Raw genomic sequence first — 13,819 nt, forward strand, 5'->3', positions numbered from 1 at the left:
TGCGCGTCGCATCCCCTCGGTGGACTACACTCCCCAGAGTCCTCGGGAGTCGTCCAGGTACACGCCCCAGAATATTGGTCATAGCGGTCCACCCGGGACTGCGCGACCCGGAATCCTTGGAAGGACTTCTCGGAAGGACTCCTCTCTGACAGGTGGGGCGAGCCTATGGTCGTTTGGACGTGGAGGGATCCTTTCAGAACCGGCGATTTCTTTTATTTAGGTAGCCCTATACATACATTAAGCATATTTTCCCATTTCTATGATATAGGTAAATAATTTTCCCACTGTCTTTTGATTATGGGTATGTCTTTTTTTTTTCTTTTGTTTCTTTTTTTTGCTATGTAGTACTTTTGATCTCTGATTTTCCTACGGATTTTGTGGTTTTATCATTCACATTTAGATCTCTCAATGGTTTAATTTTTCTCCAGGTACACACTGTAAATATACAATTATTTTTAAAATTTTCTAATATTTTATTAATTTCCCATTAAATTTATTAAAAATATAGTCTTTTACCAAATAATTTAAGGTTTCAGCTACATAATTCAGTATACTCAATTTACATTTGCATTTCAATTTCTAATTGTTCCCCCATTTATCTAATTATGCATCAATGCCAGAATTCTTTCATTATGTAGGGTGTATAATATGCTGATATCTTTTGTGGCTTGCCAAACCACGTAGACTTTATATTTCAGGCCTTTACTAGGTATACTTGCTGTTTGCTTTTTCTCTTTTGGTTTTTAAATTTTTAATTATTCTGGATAAATATTAGTTGTACATATTTATAGGGTACATGTTATGTTTTGATACAGGCATACAGTGTTTAATGGTCAAATGAGGGTGATTGGGGTATCCATCCCCTCAAGCATTTAGCATTTCTTTGTTTTAGGAAGTTTCCAATTCTCTCTTATTTTTAAATATATAGTAAAATTGTTCTTAACTATAGTCACTGTATAGTGCTACCAACTACTAGATCTTATTCATTCTAACTGTATTTTTGTATCGATTAACAAGTCCCTCTTTATCTCCTCTACCCACCATCCTTCCCAGCCTCTGTTAACTATCTCATTCTACTCTCCATCTCCATGAGTTCACGTTTTTAGCCCCACAAATGAGTGAGCACATGTGATATTTGTCATGCTGTGCCTCATTTCGCTTAACATAATGTCCTCCATTTTCATACATGCTATTGAAAATGACAGAATTTCATTCTTTTAATGACTGGCTAATATCCCATTGTGTTAATGTACCACACTTTCCTTATCCATTCATCTGTTGATAGACACTTTGATTCTATATCTTTACTATTTTGGATAGTGCTGTAGTAAACATGAGAGTGCAGATATATCCTTGAAATACTGATTTCCTTTCTTTTGGATATATACTCAGCAGTGGGATTGCGGGATCATGTATATATTTATTAATTCTTTTGAGGAACCTCCATACTGCTCTCCATAGTGGTTGTACTAATTTACATTCCTAACAACAGTGTATGAGGGTGTATCCACACCCTCACCAGTATTCACTATTGCCTGTCTCTTGAATAAAAGCTATCTTGACTGGGGTGACATTATATCTCATTGCGGTTTTGATTTACATTTCTCTGATGATTAGTGGCATTGAGCATTTTTTTTCATACACTTGTTGGCCGTTCATATATCTTATTTTGAGAGATGCCTATTCAGATCTTTTCTCCATTTAAAATATCAGATTGTCTTTTTCCTATTGAGTTGTTTTAGCTCCTTATATATATTCTGGCAATTACTTTCTTTTCAGATGGATAGTTTGCAAATTTTTTCTCCCATTCTGTGGATTGTCACTTCACTTTGTTGATTGTTTCCTTTGCTTGCAGAAGATTTTTATGTGATGTGGTCTCATTTGTCCACTTTTGCTTTAGGTGCTTGTGCTTTTGCAGTCTTACTCAAGAAATCTTTGTCCACACCAATGTCCTGGAGTGTTTCCCCAATGTTTTTTTCTAGTAGTTTTATAGTTTCAGGTCTTAGATTTACCTTTAATCCATTTTGATTTGATTTTTATATGTGGTGAGGGGATTGCTTTAGATTTCATTCTTCTGCAAATGGATATCCAGTTTTTGCAGTGCCATTTATTGAAATGACTGTCTTTCCCCAATGTAAGTTCTTTGCACCTTTGTGGGATATAAGTTGAACTATAAATGTGTGGATTTATTTCTGGGCTCTCCACTCTGTTCCATTGGTCTGTGTGCCTGTTTTTATGCCAGCATTTTGCTGTGTGGATTACTATAGTTTGCATAATTTGAAGTCAGGTAATGTGATTCCTCCAGCTTTATTACTTTTGTTCAGGATGGCTTTGGCTATTTTGGATCTTTCATGGTCCCATATAAATTTTAGGATTAATTTATCTATTTCTGTGAAGAATGTCATTGATATTTTGATTGGGATTGCATTGAATCTGTAGACAAGGTGGAATGGACATTTTAATAAGATTAATTCTTCTAGTCCAAAAACACGGACTATCTTTCCATTTTTTGTATCCTTTTCAATTTCTCTCATCAATGTTTTATAGTTTTTGTTGTAGAGATCGTTCACATCTTTGGTTGATTTTATTCCTAGCTATTTTATTTTATTTGTAACTTTTATAAACAGGTTACTTTCTTGATTTCTTTTTCAGATTGTTTGTTGTTGGCATATAGAAATGCCACCCATTTTTGTATGTTGATTTTGTATCCTGAAACTTTACTGAATTTCTTAATCAATTCTAATGTTTTTTGGCTGAAGTCTTTAGGTTTAACTAAATATAGGATCATATCATCTGCAAACAAGGATAACTTCACTTCTTCCTTTCTAATTTGAATACCTTTTATTTCTTTGTCTTCAGTAATTGCTCTAGCTAAGATTTCCTAGTACTACGTTGAATAAAAGTGTGGAATGTGGGAATCTTTGTCTTCTTCCAGATCTTACAGGAAAGGCTTTCAATTTTTCAGTATGATACTAGCTGTGGGTTTGTCACATATGGTTTTTATAATATTGAGGTATATTCCTTTTACACCGAGTTTTTTTTTTTTTTGAGTGTTTATTATGAAGGGATGTTGAATTTTACAAATGCTTTTTTGGTATCCATTGAGATGATCATATGGTTTTTGTCTTTTGTTTTTTTGATATGATATATCACATTTATTGAATTACATATATTGAGCCATCCTTGCATTCCTGGGATGAATTCCACTTGGTCATGATGAGTAATCACTTTAATGTGTTGTTGAATTTGGTTTGCAAGCATTTTGTTAAGGATTTTTGTGTCTCTGTTTATTGGAGATATTGCCTTATAGTTTTCTTTTTTTGTACATCTTTGTATGGTTTTGGTGTTAGGATAATACTGACCTTATAGGATGAGTTTGGAAGTGATCCTTCTTTCTTTCTTTTTTTTAAATAGTTTGCATAGATTGATACTAGTTCTTTATAAAATGTTTGGTAGAATTCAGCAATGAAACCGTCAGGTCCTGGGCTTTTCTTTGATGGGATACTTTTTAATACTGCTTCTATCTCATTTGTTATTAGTCTACTCATGTTTTGGATATTTTCATGGTTCAATCTTAGGTTTTATGTATCTAGGAATGTATCAGTTTCTCCTAGATTTTCCAAATTAATAGCATATAGTAGCTCATAATCATTTCTAATGATCCTTTAAATTTCTATGGTATCAATTGTAATGTCTCCTTTTTCATTTCTGATTTTATTTGTTTTGGTCTTCTGTTTTTTCTTAGTCTGGCTAAAGGTTTGTGAATTTTACCTTTTTTAAAATTATACTTTAAGTTCTGGGGTACATGTGCAGAACGTTCAGGTTTGTTACATAAGTATACACATGCCATGCTGGTTTGCTGCAGCCATAAACCCAGCATCTACATTAGGTATTTCTCCTAATGCTATCTCTCCCCCAGACCCCCACGGTCCGACAGGCCCCAGTGTGTGATGTTCCTCTCCCTGTGTCCATGTGTTCTCATTGCTCAACTCCCACTTATGAGTGAGAACATGTGGTGTTTGGTTTTCTGTCCTTGTGTTAGTTTGCTGAGAATGATGGTTTCCAGCTTCATCCATGTCCCTGCAAAGGACATGAGCTCATCCTTTTTTATTGCTGCATAGTATTCCATGGTATATATATGCCACATTTTCTTTATCCAGTCTAACATTGATGGGCATTTGGTTTGGTTCCAAGTCTTTGCTATTGTGAACATTGCTGCAGTAAACATACAAGTGCATGTGTCTTTATAGTAGAATGATTTATAATCCTTTGGGTATATACCCAGTAATGGGATTGCTGGATCAAATGGTATTTCTAGTTCTAGATCCTTGAGGAATTGCCACAATGTCTTCCACAATGGTTGAACTAATTTACACTCCCACCATCAGTGTAAAAGTGTTCCTATTTCTCCACGTCCTCTCCAGTATCTGTTGTTTCCTGACTTTTTAATGATCACCATTCTAAATGGCATGAGATGGTATCTCATTGTGGTTTTGATTTTCATTTCTCTAATAACCAGTGATGATGAGCATTTTTTCATGTGTCTGTTGGCTGCATAAATGTCTTCTTTTGAGAAGTTTCTGTTCATATCCTTCACCCAATTTTTTTTATTTTTATTTTTTGTAAATTTGTTTACCTTCTTTGTAGATTCTGCATATTAGCCCTTTGTCATATGGATAGATTGCAAAAATTTTCTCCCATTCTGTAGGTTGCCTGTTCACTCTAATGATAGTTTATTTTGCTGTGCAGAAGCTCTTTAGTTTAATTAGATCCTATTTGTCAATTTTGGCTTTTGTTGCCATTGCTTTTGGTGTTTTAGTCATGAAGTCTTTGCCCATGCCTATGTCCCGAATGGTATTACCTAGGTTTCCTTCTAGGGTTTTTATGGTTTTATGTCTTACGTTTAAGTCTTTAATTCAACCTGAGTTAATTTTTGTATAAGGTGTAAGGAAGGGATTCAGTTTTAGCTTTCTGCATATGGATAGCCAGTTTTCCCAACACCATTTATTAAATATGGAATTCTTTCTACATTGCTTGTTTTTGTCAGGATTATCAAAGATCAGATGGTTGTAGATGTGTGGTGTTATTTCTGAGGCCTCTGTTCTGTTCCATTGGTCTATCTCTCTGTTTTGGTATCAGTACCATGCTGTTTTTGTTACCGCAGCATTGTAGTATACTTTGAAGTCAGATAGGGTGATGCCTTTGTCCTTTTTTCTTAGGATTGTCTTGGCTATACGGGCTCTTTTTTGGTTCCATATGAAATTTAAAGTAGTTTTTTTCCAATTCTGTGAAGAAATCAGTGGTAGCTTGATGTGGATAGCATTGAATCTATAAATTACTTTGGGCAGTGTGGCCATTTTCATGATACTGATCCTTCCTATCCATAAGCATGGAATGTTTTTCTGTTTGCTTTTGTCCTCTCTTATTTCCTTGAGCAGTGGTTTGTAGTTCTCCTTTAAGAGGTCCTTTACATCCCTTGTAAGTTGTATTCCTAGGTATTTAATTCTCTTTGTAGCAACTGAGAATGGTAGTTCACTCATGATTTGGCTATCTGTTACTGGCGTAAAGGAATGCTTGTGATTTTTGCACACTGATTTTGTATCTTGAGACTTTGCTGAAGTTGCTTATCAGCTTAAGGAGATTTTGGGCTGAGATGATGGGGTTTTCTAAATATGCAATCATGTCATCTGCAAACAGAGACAATTTTACTTCCTTTTTTCCTAACTGAATACCCTTTATTTCTTTCTCCTGCCTGATTGCCCTGGCCAGAAATTCAAATACTGTGTTTAATAGGAGTGGTAAGAGAGGGCATCCTTGTCTTGTGCCAGTTTTCAAAGGGAAGGCTTCCAGCTTTTGCCCATTCAGTATGATATTGGCTGTGGGTTTGTGATAAATAGTTCTTATTATTTTGAGATACATTCAGTCAATACCTAGTTTACTGAGAGTTTTTAGCATGAAGGACTGTTGAATTTTGTTGAAAGTCTTTTCTGCATCTATTGAGATAATCGTGTGGTTTTTGTCATTGGTTCTGTTTATGTGATGGATTACGTTTATTGATTTGCATATGTTGAACCAGCCTTGTATGCCAGGGATGAAGCTGACTTGATCGTGGTGGATAAGTTTTTTAATGTCCTGCTGGATTTGGTTTGCCCGTATTTTATTGGGGATTTTCACACTGATGTTAATCAGGGATATTGGCCTGAAATTTTCTTTTTTTGTTGTGCCTCTGCCAGGTTTTGGTGTGAGGATGATGCTGGCCTCATAAAATGAGTTAGGGAGGATTCCCTCTTTTTCTATTGTTTGCAATAGTTTCAGAAGGAATGGTACCAGGTCCTCTTTGTACCTCTCATAGAATTTGGGTGTGAATCCATCTGGTCCTGGACTTTTTTAGGTTTGTAGGCTATTAGTTACTGCCTCAATTTCAGAAGTTGTTATTGGTTTATTCAGGGATTTGACTTCTTCCTGGTTTAGTCTTGGGAGAGTGTATATGTCCAGGAATTTATCCATTTTTTCTAGATTTTCTAGTTTATTTGCATAGAGGTGTTTATAGTATTCTCTGATGATAGTTTGTATTTCTGTGGGATCAGTAGTGATATCCTCTTTATCATTTTTTATTGCATCTATTTGATTCTTCTCTCTTTTCTTCTTTATTAGTCTGGCTAGCGGTCTATCTTCTTGAACTTTTCAAAAAGCCAGGTCCTGGATTCATTGATTTTTTGGAAGGTTTTTTTTGTGTTTCTATTTCCTTCCGTTCTGCTCTGATCTTAGTTATTTTTTGCCTTCTGCTAGCTTTTGAATTTGTTTGCTCTTGCTGTTCTAGTTCTTTTAGTTGTGATGCTAGGGTGTCAATTTTAGATCTTTCTTGCTTTCTCTCGTGGGCATTCAGTGCTATAAATTTCCCTGTATACCCTGCTTTAAATGTGTCCCAGGGCTTCTGGTACGTTGTGTCTTTGTTCTTATTGGTTTCAAAGAACATCTTTATTCCTGCCTTAATTTCGTTATTTACCCAGTAGTCATTCAGGAGCCAGTTGTTCAGTTTCCATGTAGTTGTGTAGTTTTGAGGGAGTTTCTTATTCCTGAGTTCTAATTTGATTGCACTGTGATCTGAGAGACAGTTTGTTGTGATTTCCATTCTTTTGCATTTGCTGAGTAGTGTTTTACTTCCAATTATGTGGTCAATCTTAGAGTACGTGCGACGTGGTGCTGAGAAGAATGTATATTCTGCCGATTTGGGGTGGAGAGTTCTGTAGATGTCTATTAGTTCTACTTGGTCCAGGGCTGAGTTCAAGTCCTGGATATCCTTGTTAATTTTCTGTCTTGTTGATCTGTCTAATATTGATGGTGGTGTGTTAAAGTCTCCCAGTATTATTGTGTGGGAGTCTAAGTTTCTTTGTAGGTCTCTAAGAACTTGCTTTATGAATCTAGGTGCTCCTTGTATTGGGTGCATATATATTTAGGATAGTTAGCTCTTCTTGATGCATTGATCCCTTTACCATTACGTAATGGCCTTGTCTCTTTTGATCTTTGTTGGTTTAAACTCTGTTTTGTCAGAGACTAGGATTGCAACCCCTGCTTTTTTTTTCCTTTCCATTTGCTTGGTAAATATTCCTCCATCCCTTTATTTTGAGCATATGTGAGTCTTTGCACATGAGATGCGTCTCCTGAATACAGCACACTGATGGGTCTTGACTATTCAGTTTGCCAGTCTGTGTCTTTTAATTGGGGGCATTTAGTCCATTTATATTTAAGGATAATATTGTTTTGTGTGAATTTGATCCTGTCATTATGATGCTAGCTGTTATTTTGTCAGTTAGTTGATGCAGTTTCTTCCTAGCATGGAAAGTCTTTACAATATGGTATGTTTTTGCAGTGGCTGGTACTGGTTGTTCCTTTCCATTTTAGTGCTTCCTTCAGGAGCTCTTGTAAGGCAGGCCTGGTGGTGACAAAATCTCTCAGCATTTGCTTGTCTGTAAAGGATTTTATTTCTCCTTCGCTCTCCTTTGCTTATGAAGCTTAGTTTGGCTCAATATGAAATTCTGGGTAGAAAATTCTTTTCTATAAGAATGTTAAATATTGGCCCACACTCTATTCTGGCTTGTAGGGTTTCTGCTGGAAGATCTGTTTTTAGTCTGATGGGCTTCCCTTTGTGGGTAACCCGACCTTTCTCTCTGGCTGCCCTTAACATTTTTTCCTTCATTTCAACCTTGGTGAATCTGAAGATTTTGTGTCTTGGGATTGTTCTTCTCGAGGAGTATCTTTGTGGTTTGTCTATATTTCCTGAATTTGAGTGTTGGCCTGCCTTGTTAGGTTGGGGAAAGTTCTCCTGGATAATATCCTGAAGAGTATTTTCCTACTTGATTCCATTTTCCCCATCACTTTCAGGCACACCAATCAAATGTAGATTTGTTTGGTCTTTTCACATAGTCCCATATTTCTTTGAGGCTTTATTCATTTCTTTTAACTCTTTTTTTGCTCTAATCTTGTCTTCTCGCTTTATTTCATTGAGTTGATCTTCCATCTCTGATATCCTTTCTTCCACTTGATCAATTCAGCTATTGATACTTGTGTATGCTTCATGAAGTTCTCATGCTGTTTTTCAGCTCCATCAGGTCATTTATGTTCTTCTCTAAACTGGTTATTCTAGTTAGTAACTCGTCTAAGCTTTTTTCAAGGTTCTTAGCTCCGTTGCATTGGGTTAGAAATGCTCCTTTAGCTCAGAGGCATTTGTTATTACCCACCTTCTGAAGTCTCTTTTTGTCAATTGGTCAAACTCATTCTCCATCCAGTTTTGTTCCCTTGCTGGTGAGGAGTTGTGATGCTTTGGAGGAAAAGAGGCATTCTGTTTTTTGGAATTTTCAGCCTGTTTGGACTGGTTTCTCCCCATCTTCATGGATTTATCTACCTTTGGTGTTTGCTGTTGGTGACCTTTGGATGGAGTTTTTGCATGGTTTTCCTTTTTGTTGATGTTGATGCTATTGCTTTCTGTTTGTTAATTTTTCTTCTAACAGTCAGGCTCCTCTGCTGCAGGTTCCCTGGAGTTTGCTGGAGGTTCACTCTAGACCCTGTTTGTCTGGGTATCAGCAGTGGAGTCTGCAGAACAGCAAAGATTGCTGCCTGTTTATTCCTCTGGAAGGTTTGCCCCAGAGGGCACCTACCAGATGCCAGCCAGAGGTCTCCTGTATGGGGTGTCTGTTGGTCCCTACTGGGAGATGTCTCCCAGTCAGGATACACAGGGGTCAGGTACCTACTTGAGGAGGCAGTCTGTCCCTTATCAGAGCTTGAACACTGTGCTGGGAGATCTGCTGCTCTCTTCTGAGCTGTCAGGCAGGGACATTTAAGTCTGCTAGAGCTGTGCCCATAGTCACCCTTCCCCCAAGTGCTGTGTCCCAGGGAGATGGGAGTTTTATCTTTAAGTCCCTGACTGGGGCTGCTGCCTTTTTGTCCAGAGATGCCCTGACAAGAGAGGAGGAATCTAGAGAGGCAGTCTGGCCACAGGGACCTTGCTGAGTTGTGGTGGGCTCCCCACAATTCGAACTTCACATGGCTTTGTTTACACTCTGAGGGTAAAGCCACCTACTCAAGCCTCAGCAATGGCGGATGCCCCAATCCCCACCAAGTTCAAGTGTCCCAGGTCGACCTCAGACTGCTGTGCTGGCAGTGAGAATTTCAAGCCAGTGGATCTTAGCTTGCTGGGCTCCATGGGTGTGGGACCGCCAAGCCAGACCACTTGGCTCCCTGGCTTCAGCCCCCTTTCCAGGGGAATGAACGGTTCTGTCTCGCTGGCATTCCAGATGCCACGGGGGTATGAAAAAAAAAAGCTCCTGCAGCTAGCTCAGTGTCTGTCCAAACGGCCGCCCAGTTTTATGCTTGAAACCCAGGGTCCTGGTGGTGTAGCCACTAGAGGGAATCTCCTGGTCTTCTGGCTGTGAAGACCATGGAAAAATCACAGTATCTGGGCCAACCAGGAGGCACTATTCCTCCTGGTATAGTCTCTCATGGCTTCCTTTGGCTAGGGGAGGGAAATCCCCTGAATGCTTGCACTTCCTGGGTGAGGTGATGCCCCACCCTGCTTTGCCTCACCGTCCGTGGCCTGCACCCACTGTTCAAGCAGTCCCAATGAGATGAACTGGGTACCTCAGTTGGAGATGGAGAAGTCACCCTGCCTTGTGTGTCGATCTCGCTCGGAGCTGTTCCTATTTGGCCATCTTGCCAGCAACCTGTTTATCTTTTCAAAAAACCATTTTTGTTGTTTCACTGGTCTTTTTTTTTTTTGTCTCAATCACTGATTTCTGCTCTTATCTATATTGTTTCTTTTCTTCTAATTTTAGACTTCGTCTGCGTTTGCTTTTCTAGGTCTTTTTAAGGTGCATCATTAGGTTGTTTAAAGTTTTTAAGAGCTTTTTTGATGGAGGCATCTATTGCGATAAACTTCTTTCTTAGTACTACTATTTTTGCTTTCTTAGTACTACTATTTAGGTTTTGGGATGTTGTGTTTCCATTTTCATTATTTCAAAATTTTAAAATTTTCTTATTTTTTAATTGACCAAGTCATTTTATAGGTGCATGTGATGTATTTTCCACAAGTTTGTGTAGTTTCCAAAGTTTCTCTTGTTATTGATTTTCAGTTTTCCATTTTGGTCAGAAAAGATACTTCATACCATTCAATTTTTTACTTTTTTGAGGCATGTTTTGTGGCCTAACACATGGTCTTTCCTGGAGAATATTCCATGTACTGAGAAGAATGTGTGTTCTGCAGCTGTTTGATGGCATATTCTTAAAAAAAATGTTTGTTTTTACCTTTCAGGTCTGTTGGGCTTAAAGATGAGATGTTCTTTAAATGTCTATTAGATTAATTTGTTCTATAGTGTAGATCAAGTCTGATGTTCTCTGTTGATTTTCTGTCAAATAGTCTGTCCAATAATGAAAGTGGGGTGTTAAAGTCCCCAGCTGTTATTATTAGGGTTTCACTCTCTTTTTAGCTCTAATAACATTTGCTTTATAGATCTTGGTCCACTGGTGTGGGTTGTACATATATTTACAATTTTTTATATCCTTTTGCTGAATTGACCTCTTTATCATTATATAACACATTATTTGCCTCTTTTTTGCCATTTATGTCTTGAAATTTATTTCTCTGATACAAATATAGCTACTCCTGTTCTTTTTTTGCTTGCATTTGCATGGAATATCTTTTTCCATCCCTTTATTTCCAGTCTTTGCATGCCTTTATAGATAAAGTGAGTTTCTTGTAGGAGCATATATTTGGTTGTTGTTTTATTACCACTCAAGGACTCTATGTCTTTTGATTGCAGAAGTTAGGCCATTTACATTCAATATTGGCATTTATAGGTAAGAACTCAATACTGCCATTTTGTTATTTGTTTACTAGTTGCTTTATCAATCCTCTCTTCTTTTCTTCCTTACTTCCTGTCTTCCTTTGTGTAAAAGTGGTTTTCTCTGGTGGTATGGTTTAATTTCCTTGTGATTTATTTATTTCTCAGTTTTTAAGTTTTGGGTTTTTTATTGGCTTAATTTTTTTCAATTTCTTATTTATTTATTTATTTTTATTTTACTTTAAGTTCTGGGATACATGTGCAGAACGTACAGGTTTGTTACATAGGTATGCATGTGCCATGGTGGTTTGCTGCACCCATCAACCCATCATCGACATTAGGTATTTCTCCTAATGACATCCCTCCCCTTGCTCCCCAGCCTCTGACAGGCCTCAGTGTGTGATGTTCCTCTCCCTGTGCCCATATGTTCTCATTGTTCAACTCCACCTTCTAAGTGAGAACATGTGGTGTTTGGTTTTCTGTTCCTGTGTTAGTTTGCTGAGAATGATGGTTTCCAGCTTCATCCATGTTCCTGCAAAGGACGTGAACTCATCCTTTTTTATTGCTGCATAGTATTCCATGGTGTATATGTGTCACATTTTCTTTATCCAGTCTAACGTTGATGGGCATTTGGGTTGGTTCTAAGTCTTTGCTATTGTGAATAGTGCTGCAATAAACATAGGTGTGCATGTGTCTTTATAGAAGAATGATTTATAATCCTTTGAGTATATACTCAGTAATAGGATTGCTGGGTCAAATGGTATTTCTAGTTCTAGATCCTTGAGGAATTGCCACACTGTCTTCCACAATGGTTGAACTAATTTACACTCCTACCAACAGTGTAAAAGCGTTTCTATTTCTCCACATCCTCTGCAGCATCTGTTGTTTCCTGACTTTTTATTGATCGCCATTCTAACTGGTGTGAGATGGTATCTCATTGTGGTTTTGATTTGCATTTCTGTAATGACCAGTGATGATGAGCATTTTTTCATGTGTCTGTTGACTGCATAAATGTCTTCTTTTGAGAAGTGTCTGTTCGTATCCTTTGCCCACTTTTTGATGGGGTTGGTTTTTTCTTGTAAATTTGTTTAAGTTATTTGTAGATTCTGGATATTAGCCCTTTGTCAGATGGCTATATTGCAAAATTTTTCTCCAATTCTGTAGGCTGCCTGTTCACTCTGATGGTAGTTTCTTTTGCTGTGCAGAAGCTCTTAAGTTTCATTAGATCCCATTTGTCAATTTTGGCTTTTATTGCCATTGCTTTTGGTGTTTTAGTCATGAAGTCCTTGCCCATGCCTGTGTCCTGAATGGTATTGCCTAGGTTTTCTTCTAGGGTTTTTATGGTTTTAGGTCTTACATTTACATCTTTAGTGCATCTTGAATTAATTTTTGTATACGGTGTAAGGAAGGGATCCAGTTTCAGCTTTCTACATATGGCTAGCCAGCTTTCCCAGCAGCATTTATTAAATAGGGAATTCTTTCCCCATTTCTTGTTTTTGTCAGGATTATCAAAGATCAGATGGTTGTAGATGTGTGGTGTTATTTCTGAGGCCTCCGTTCTGCTCCATTGGTCTATCTCTCTGTTTTGGTACCAGTAACATGCTGTTTTGGTTACTGTAGCCTTGTAGTATAGTTTGAAGTCAGGTAGCATGATGCCTCCAGCTTTGTTCTTTTTGCTTAGGATTGTCTTGGCAATTTGGGCTCTTTTTTGGTTCCATATGAACTTTAAAGTAGGTTTTTTCAATTCTATGAAGGAAGTCATTGGTAGCTTGATGGGGATGGCATTGAATCTATAAATTACCTTGGGCAGTATGGTTATTTTCACAATACTGTTCCTCCTATCCATGAGCATGGAATGTTTTTCCATTTGTTTGTGTCCTCTCTTATTTCCTTGAGCAGTGGTTTGTAGTTCTCCTTGAAGAGTTCCTTCACATTCCTTGTTAGTTGGATTCCTAGGTATTTTATTCTCTTTGTAGCAACTGTGAATGGGAGTTCACTCATGATTTGGCTCTCTGTCTGCTATTGGTGTGTAGAAATGCTTGTGATTTTTGCACATTGATTTTGTATCCTGAGATTTTGCTGAAGTTGCTTATCAGCTTAAGGAGATTTTGGGCTGAGACAATGGGGTTCTCTAAATATACAATCATGTCATCTGCAAACAGGGACAATTTGATTTCCTCTTTTCCTAACTGAATACCCTTTATTTCTTTCTCCTGCCTGATTGCCCTGGCTAGAACTTCCAACACCATGTTGAATAGGAGTGGTGAGAGAGGGCATCCCTGTCTTGTGCCAGTTTTCAAAGGGAATGCTTCCGGTTTTTGTCCATTCAGTATGATATTGCCTGTGGGTTTGTGATAAATAGTTCTTATTATTTTGAGATACGTTCCATCAATACCTAGTTTATTGAGAGTTTTTAGCATGAAGGGCTGCTGAATTTTGTCGAAGGCCTTTTCTGCATCTATTGAGATAATCGTGTGGTTTTTGTC

The 13,819-nt window shown here is 37.7% G+C and overlaps 1 long non-coding RNA gene across 2 annotated transcripts in view; it reads left to right on the top strand.

Moving 5' to 3' along the window:
• LOC107985400 (uncharacterized) overlaps window positions 98-13,819 on the top strand; it is a 51,102-nt gene continuing 37,380 nt past the window's right edge. Inside the window, exon 1 of one of the 2 annotated variants that reach the window (XR_007067557.1) lies at window positions 98-220. This is a non-coding gene — a long non-coding RNA (uncharacterized LOC107985400). The remainder of the gene's footprint in view (window positions 221-13,819) is intronic. The other variant, XR_007067556.1, reaches the window with a different exon arrangement.

The sequence above is a fragment of the Homo sapiens genome, chromosome 20 (genome assembly GCF_000001405.40).
Source record: "Homo sapiens chromosome 20, GRCh38.p14 Primary Assembly".
Classification (NCBI taxonomy): Eukaryota; Metazoa; Chordata; class Mammalia; order Primates; family Hominidae; genus Homo; species Homo sapiens.